Here is an 8,728-nt window from a genome sequence, read left to right on the forward strand (position 1 = left end):
CTGAGAGACTTACTGTGGATAGTCCATTACATCTTTGTCCATCTCTACCATAAAATCTGCCATTACGTTGACTTAGAATTTGCTTACCAGTTATTTTTATGTATATATTCTGAAAACTCCACATCCTTTATAAGGTAAATGGAACGTTGAGCTTCTACCTCTTTTTCTGACTCTAGGACGTGACATGTCCTTTTCTCTATTAAAATAGGCCATTAATAAACTGTGACATTTGAAGCTCATGCTTGCTCTTAGGGATTTGATTGAGAATGACTCTTGGGAACATTGAGTGAAAGAGGTTAATTACTATTGTTGTAATCAAAGCATTTTAAGCCTGAAAAATCAGTCACAATTACGAAGTTTAGTGGGAAATGCCAAATAGACTCCCTCGGGACTCTAGGGGAATTGTTCCTGCTGTTTTGTTTTATTCAGTTAATGAAAGCTTGGTGGCCTGCATTAGAGCATTGTGGAAACTGGAAACATGAAAACTTTTAATCTTTCTAAATGTTTGACAAAATTAAGTCATATTTTTCTTTCCTAAGAATGCTGCAATAATGATCCTTCTAATGGCCTGAAATAATAAACGTACCTTTATTTCTCTGTTAAAATGCAGATAAACTCTTCTTATTTTTGCAAAGATCTATAAAAGGTAACTTTCTCCATATTTATATTAGTCTATACCTAATCCTTATACTAGCCTAAAGCCCTAAGGTTGATGAATTAGAGTGATGACTAGATGTAAATAAGTGAACACAGATATTTTCTAGATTTAAAAAGTAATCTCAAAAAGATATGGGATCGACACCTTCCAAAGCAGCCAGACATGGAATGGAGAGGTGGTCAATTAACATTTCTCTCTGACAGTGTATCCTGTATGTGTTCTTTGCATTGTGGCTCTTAGCGCCTCTATTCAAGGACACAAATTCAGTCTTTGGGACCCATCAATTTCTTACTATCAAAGCCTTGAAGCTTTGACATTTCTATCTATTAAAAGCCAGAGATTGCTGCATTAACTTAAGCAATTCAAATATAGTTTGTTTACTTGAGGCACACCTAATACAGAAGCAGAAGTAATAATTGAAAAATAAAAGAATAGAAAAGGGATACTAAGCAATTCAAGTGTAGTTTGTTTATTCGAGGCACACCTAATACAGAAGCAGAAGTAGTAATTGAAAAACAAAAGAATAGAAAAGGGATATACAAAGCAAACATTAAGCAACATTGGTAGATTGTATTATTGTTCCATCATTATGCACCCTTCTTTTTAATAAGAGGGATTGCATATCTCCACTTACACATATCATGGGATTACAGGCATCAGCCTCTGCACCCGGTCAGGTATGTCCTTCTTATAACAATCCTTCAGTGACATGAAAGCTACATTTTCTTTCCTTTCTTTTTTTTTTGAGATGGAGTTTCCTTCTTATCACCTAGGCTGGAGTGTAATGGCATGGACTCCGCTCTTTGCAACCTCTGCCTCCTGGGTTCAAGAGATACTCCTGCCTCAGTCTCCTGAGTAGCTGGGATTACAGGCACCTGCCACCACACCCAGCTAATTTTTGTATTTTTAGTGGAGATGGGGTTTTCCCATGTAGGCCAGGCTGGTCTTGAACTTCTGACCTCAGGAAATCTGCCCACCTCAGCCTCCCAAAAGTGCTGGGATTATAGGCGTGAACCACCGCGCCAAAAGCTACATTTTCAATGTGAGATTAAAAGGTATTTAGCAAAAAGTACATTTTTTTTATTTGCTGGCATAACTTCAGTGATAGCTTCACAAATTTGTTCTTCATTTTATATTACGATCCTTTCACTTAATTCATTTATCTTGAAATGGTGAACAGCTGCAGTTGCAAACCTCAATCTATGGTACATATAAAGCAATTCAACTTTTTCTTCTAACTTCATGACTTTGCCTCTTGGGAGCACTTTCAGCATCACCAGTGGCACTTCATATGAGTCCCATGGTGTTATTCAAGATTTACTGTATTGCACTAAGCATGAAAATATGCAAGAATCATGAGAGATTACTTTTTACTGTGATATGCAATTTACCAGAAAGACAAACTGCTCACATGGATATGATTAGTGTCATACCGTTTTCAGTGGATGGTCAACACTTGAGCTCAACGCAATAGCAACAGAGGTGGCTACAAAATTATTACAGTAGTACAACATGTACTACAGTAAATTTTATGCAGTTATTATTTAACACTGCTTTTTTTGTATTTCTCTCAATTGCAACTGGTACTACATATTGTCTGTGTTTGTGTGCATGTGTTGATAAATTTTAACTTTTTTATAACAGATTTGTGTATATAATGTGGTAGTAAATAATAAAATAGACTAGTATCTACAGCTGTTATGCATTCATGACACACGCAATGTTTTCTAATTTTTTTGATATTTCTAGTCTATGCAGCTTGTCTGCAAGAATTTTCAAATTGTCACAGATTTCCGAAATATTTTGCAACATATTTATTGAAAAAAATCCATGTATAAGTAGACCTACATAGTTCAAACCTGTGTTGCTCAAGGGTCAACTGTAATTGAAAAGAATAAATATTTACAATCAGTAATTTAAACTTCCATTTTAGGAAACTGGAAAAAGCAGAGTAAATCAAATCCAAAATAATCAGAAGAAAAAAATTAGAGAGGTCAATGAAGTTGAAAACAGGAAATCAGTAAAGAAAATTAAAGAAAACCAAAAACTGGTTTTGCAAAATTATTAGTAAAATTAATAAACTTCCAGCCAGGCTAAGTAAGAAAAAGAAGAGAAGACACAAATTACTAATATCAGAAATGAAAGAGGTCATATAACAACAGATCCCATGGGGAGTAAAATAATAATAAAATAATTTTGTGAACACCTCTGTGGCCACAAATTTGATAACCAATTCTTTGAAAGAAACAATGTGCCACGACCAACATAAGAACAAACAAACACTCTTCATAGGCCTGTATCTATTAAAGAAATTGAACTAATGATTAATAACCTTCCAAAATAGAAAGCACAAGGCCCAGATAGGTTCTCCTCTGAAATGTGCTAAACATTTGAAGAAGAAATTATACCAATTTTCTATAACCTCTTCCAGAAGACAGAAGCAGAGGGAATTTTAAACATTCTATAAGGGTAGTGTTACCCAAAACCAGACAAAGACATTATAAGCAAATAAACTACAGAACATCTCTCATGAAGGTAGATGCAAAAATCTTCAACAAGATATTTCACCATTGAAAATCAACTAATGTGGCCCATCACATAACAGGCTAACAAGGAAAAATCACATGATCATATCAATAGATACAGGAAAAGATTTGACAAAATCCAAGACTGGTTTATAATAAAAACTCTCCCAAAACAAGAAATAGAGGGAAACTACCTCAATCTGATAAAGAACATCTAGAAAAAAATTGACTTAAACATCATACTTAATGTTGAGAAATGAGAAGCTTTCCCACTAAGATCAGGAACAAAGCAAATATGTCTCCTCTAATCGCTCCTTTTCAACATCATCCTAGACGTGCTGAAAGTGCAAGAAGAAAAGAAAATGTATACAAATTGGGAAGTCATAAATAAAACTTTTTGTTCACAGATGACATGATTGTATGTATAGAAAACCTGAAAGATTAAAAAAAAAAAAAAAACCCAAGACTCCCGGATACAGGTTAATGTATAAAAGTCAATTGCTTTCTTATATGCCAGAAATGAACACGTGAAATCTGAAATGTGAAAAACACAATCCCATTTACATTAGCATCCCCCAAATTAAAATACTTAGCTATAAATCTAACAAAATACTATAGTGCAAAAGTAATTGTGGCTTTTTGTCGTTAAAAGTAATGGTTGAAAACCGCAATTACTTTTGCACCAACTGTAATAAAATCCACCAGGAAAATTACAAAACTCTGATAAAAAATCAAATAACTCAGTAAATGGATATATATTACATATTCATGGATAGGGAGACTCAATATTGTCAAGATGTCAATTTTGCCTAACTTATTCTACAGTTTCAACACATTCCAATAAAAATCTCAGCAAGTTATTTTGTGGACATTGACAACTGGATTCTCAAGTTTATAGAGAGATGAAAAAGACCCAGAATAGCCAACATAATATTTCAGAAGAACAAAGTCAGAGGACTGACATTACCTGATCTCAGGACTTACTATGAAGCTGTAGTGATGAAGACAATGTGGTTTTGGTGAAAAAAAAAAGACAAATAGATCAACGGAATAGAACAGAGAGTCCAGAAATAGACCCAGGAGCAAAGGAAATTCAATGAAGGCTTTTCAATAAATGGTGCCAGAACAACTGGACATCAACATGAAAACAAAGAAATCTGAACACAGACCTTATACCTTCCAAAAAAATTAAATCAAGATGAATCATGGAAATAGATAAAACTAGAAGATAAGACAGGAGAAAATGTAGATGAATTTGAGTATGATGATGACTTTTTGGTAGAACACTGAAGGCACAATAAGAATTAATAAGCTGGACTTTATTAAAATTAAAAACCAGTGTGCTACAAAAGACGTTGTCAAGAATGAAAATACAAACCACGGGCTGGGAGAAAGTATTTGCAAGACATATCTGATAAAGGACTGTTATCCAAAATATACAAATAACATTTAAACACTCACCAAAAAAATGAAAAGGCTGATTACAAACAGGGCAAAAGAATGGAACAGATACCTCATAGATGCCAAGTAACCATATGAAAAGATGCTTTTCACATTATAAATCACTAGAGAATTGCAAATTTAAACAATAAGACACATTCACATCTATTAAAGTGGTCAAAATTCACAATACTGACAACATCAAATGCTGACAAGGATGTGGTACGGCAGGAACTCTCATATATTGCTGGTAGAATGCAAAATGGTATAGCCACTTTGGAAGACAGTTTGGAAGTTTTTTACAAAACTAAACACATTCTTCTCATATAACCCAGCAATCATGTTCCTTGGTATTTACCCAAAAAAGTTGAAAGCTTATGTTCACACAAAAACCTGCACACAGGTGTTTATAACAGTTTTATTCATAACTGCCCAAACTTGGAAACAACCAAGATATCCTTCAGTAGGTGAAATAGATAAACCAACTGTGGTACAGTCTTACGATGGAATATTACTTAGCCCCACAAAGTATGAACCACAAAAAGGCATGAAGGAACCAAGTTTTACTTACATAGATAGATTCAGGAATTCTAAAATAATTAGAAGATTTATTTCAGCAATTTATGAAAATAAATACAACATGATCTCTACAGTGTAATATTGATCAACTTTCAAACATTTGAAAAGCTGGTCTATATAATTTTTATAGATGTATAAATTTGTAGTGAAAATGTCAACATGAATGTAGAATCATCAGCAACGCATCCTTAAAAGTGTTTTATGATAGGAAACAAGAGATGGAAATGAAATTGGAGAAGTTTTTAGAGGAACATCAGTTATATCTATAAATTTAACGGAAAAACTTCTCCAGGAAATAATGTTAAAATTTTATAAAGTTGGGTTGATGTGTACATAGGTGTTTGATCATCATTTTGTATTTCTTATGTATGTTTGAAATATTTCACAATACAACTGTTATATATCATTATAAGTGTTTGTGATGTATAGACTTAACAATACAGAAAGTATTATTTATATGATAATATTTATTATATTAACAACAAATGTTGCAGAAGAAACTATTCGTTCAGCAGGCCAGGATTTTTTAAAAAACCATCTTCCAGATCTTTTTACAAACCCCAACCATAATTCCAAATAGAGACAACATGGTTGGAGACACAGCACACACCCACAAAGCTTTTTCCATAAAGATGAGCATATACTGCAAGAAATAGATTGCCAAATCACAGAGCCCAGGTTACGTGACGTGTTTGGACTTTTTTGTTTAGGGAATTCACAGTGTGTGCACGGACAATGCTACGAGGCATTGCAGTGCATTCTGGTAATGAAATATCTTCGATAGAATTCTCAGATTCCTTACATTCGTTGTCAGATTTATGGATGTTCAGGCAGGTACAGCTACTGGTAGACAACTTGCACTCTAGGAGAGAGAGGACTCCTAGGGAAAAGAGATTCCAGGGAGTGGGATGAAGGGACAATGGAGAGTCAGAAACAATTCTCTCCAATTTGGCTGAAGACCCTGACCCAAAGCCCAGTGGATCCCTTTTAACTACCGAAAGCCATCTGGGAGGTGAATGCTTTAGTGGAAGAAACCGGAAGTGTATGTACAATAGCTTAAATTCTGCTCAGCTTAAGAAAATTGAGGATTCTTTTTGAAAGAGAACATGCTTCTTTTTGGGTTAGGAAGTGTAATTACAAATGAAATTTTAAAGACTTCTTAGGAAAGGGGAGACTTCGGTTTCGGTAGATGGCCATCTAGCATCAGATGTTGTTTCTCTCTGCCCTCAAACTGCCTTGACACTACACTGTACTCCCAAGGTCACTGTTCCTCTCCACAGAGGCTGAGCATTCTGTCTCAGACACCCACCTTGGTCATGACTTTGGTGGTTATCTCTGCCCCAAAGCGGGGAGGGTGTGAAAGGCAAATAAAAGGCGGAGATGGGGAGCTACCCTCTGAGGCCAGGCACAGCAGACATCTCACATAGGCCTGACCTCCCACTCTTCTTGGAGGAACTGTCATCAGAGAATGAATCCAGGTGAGCTGCAGCCTTTTAAAATGCAAGGTTTGGCACTTTTCCCTCTATTCTCATCTTTTTACCCTTCCCTCTGTCGGGGATGGATTGGTTCTTAACACCCTTCAGGGGCCCTGGAGACACTCACCACAGACAGACAAGAAGAAAACATTTAAGTAAGCAGTATACATGATCCAGGTGATCCTATAACTAGAGAAGTGCATGGATTGACCTTGCTTCAGCTTATTGTGATATAGTATGAGTGCCCAGAGCAGAGAGATACCTGATGTCCAGACAAAAAAAAAAAAAAAAAAAGAAAAAGAAAAAAGTCCCTTCTGAGGAACTTTGGCTCCTTGATGCAAGTCTTCATTCCATATACACTTGACTTCCCAACCCCCACCCGGTCCAACTACACCTTGCCCAAAGACTGATCCTGATCCTGCTTTTATGGTAGATCTAACTCAGAAGCTACATATATATATATATAGTTTTCAGAGACTGCAGCCTGAACCCACCCATCAAAGTACACCTACAAGCTTGTGTTAGGGGAGCCAGGAAGTTACCTGAGAAGAAACTGAGGATGGTAGTGAAGAGTTGTATATATTTATTTTGAGGAATCAGATAGGTGAATTTCATACCCAGGATTAAGTTAAGGAGGAAGGAAAGGCCAAGGCTCGACGTCATCATAATCCTGACCACTTTCAGGTCATCTGTTGGAAAGCAAAAGCTGTTTTGAGAGGACAGATATTTCTTCTAGACTCATTTCTACCTGGGGTCCAGAAGTCTCTAGGTGAAAATTGGAATAGGGTGAAAGATTTGATTAAACAATAAGAAAGAAGTTGGAAAATAACAAGCAGGGGAACCTTAAGCTGAATAAGAGAACCAAAAACATTTTCTCTATCCTGATGTCTCTCTATGTGTCTTTCTCTTCTATTATTTTCTTCAAACTCTATTCTTGTTAAATACCGCAATTCACTCCATCATCTAGTGGCAATACAGATTACTTAATGCCAGTTACGTTTCTTTCTTACCCACATGTCTAGTTGTGTGGATCACCCTGCTGCTACTGCTGAGACTTCTCAAATGCCCAGCAGTTAAGGCTGTGAACATATAAACTTTTCTCCAGAACACCTAAATGGTGAGATTTTGGAATCTGCCTTGACTGTATTGACTATGGAAGGAAGGAAGAACACTGCAACTTGAGAAGCTGCACCAGAAAATAATGGGTACACTGGTGAGATTAATGCAAGTTAAGGAAAGCCAAGTTAAGGACACACCCTTCCTTTCCACCCGTCTCTTTCTAGAGTACAGTTCTGACCTTCTGGCCAAAGAGCAGGGCAACACATCATCCAAGGACTGTGGTTCATCTTGGCTCTTTCATCTTCTGAAATCAATTCAACCCATTTATCTAAGGTGATTCCCATCACCATTAAGACTACGGCCCAGGAGGAGAAAAGTATGTTCATACCCTGGATACTTCTATTTGAAACATGCACCATTGTGAGTGAAAATTTCTAGCTGGAACCACCACCACTATTTTGTAGATCTCTTCCTTGATTTGATTAGTTACAAGAAGGGTGATATCTGAACTTTCAGTGGTTGCTGAGGCATTGGTAACAGCAGAAGCTGAAGTAGTCTATAAAACAGAGAAGATAGATAACTCTCACCCTTCCTCACTTCCGTTATCTATCAGGGCCAGCCTGCTGTCAGGACTGCCAACTGCCATGGAATCATCTATTGGTTTGACCCTTGACCCTGGGGCCTAGTGGAGTGAAAGAACCAAGGGGTCCAGAAGTCCTGAGAGAGCTATCAGATATAGGGATCTGACATCACATGTAGAAAGAGCTGTCACATACAGGGATCATTAGAGGCCTTGAATTAAGTTAGACGTGCATGACTAAAGAGGTCCAATTTAGGAGTTAGAATTACACGCTCCAAGATTAGTTAACATTTTGTAGGGGCCAGTGAAGAGGAAAAGGATTTCAAGATCATTGAGATAAATAGTTAGCTAGCTAGTATCACAACAGGGAATGACCACTCAAAATTTAGGATGTTTGAAGAAATGTGTGTTC

General features: G+C 36.5%; 1 protein-coding gene across 3 annotated transcripts; it reads right to left on the minus strand.

The window, feature by feature from the left end:
• Positions 1–5,649: 5,649 nt before the first annotated feature.
• TMEM225 (transmembrane protein 225) lies at positions 5,650–8,400 on the minus strand. 3 transcript variants are annotated; one of them, NM_001363605.2, is made up of 4 exons: positions 8,125–8,400; positions 7,220–7,366; positions 6,805–6,939; positions 5,650–6,082 (listed from the first exon to the last, which is right to left on the minus strand). In NM_001363605.2, the coding sequence occupies exons 1-4, from the start codon at positions 8,153–8,155 to the stop codon at positions 5,868–5,870; spliced, it is 528 nt and encodes a 175-aa protein (NP_001350534.1). In that variant the 5' UTR covers positions 8,156–8,400; the 3' UTR covers positions 5,650–5,867. The 3 variants fall into 3 exon arrangements, with proteins under 3 accessions (NP_001350534.1, NP_001013765.2, XP_011541104.1); NM_001013743.3 differs by having other exon boundaries at positions 7,975–8,400; XM_011542802.4 differs by lacking the exon at positions 6,805–6,939 and having other exon boundaries at positions 7,975–8,400.
• Positions 8,401–8,728: the final 328 nt, after the last annotated feature.

The sequence above is a fragment of the Homo sapiens genome, chromosome 11 (genome assembly GCF_000001405.40).
Source record: "Homo sapiens chromosome 11, GRCh38.p14 Primary Assembly".
In the NCBI taxonomy this organism is placed as follows: domain Eukaryota; kingdom Metazoa; phylum Chordata; class Mammalia; order Primates; family Hominidae; genus Homo; species Homo sapiens.

Coding starts and splice junctions, on each gene's coding strand:
- TMEM225 (NM_001013743.3), bottom strand. CDS start 8,155: ATGGTGCATGTTTCAAATAGAAGTATCCAGGGTATGAACATACTTTTC. Junction 6,940..7,219: donor CATCCTCAGTTTCTTCTCAG/GTAACTTCCTGG, acceptor TCTGGACATCAG/GTATCTCTCTGCTCTGGGCA. Junction 6,083..6,804: donor TTTCTTCTTGTCTGTCTGTG/GTGAGTGTCTCC, acceptor TCTTTTCCCTAG/GAGTCCTCTCTCTCCTAGAG.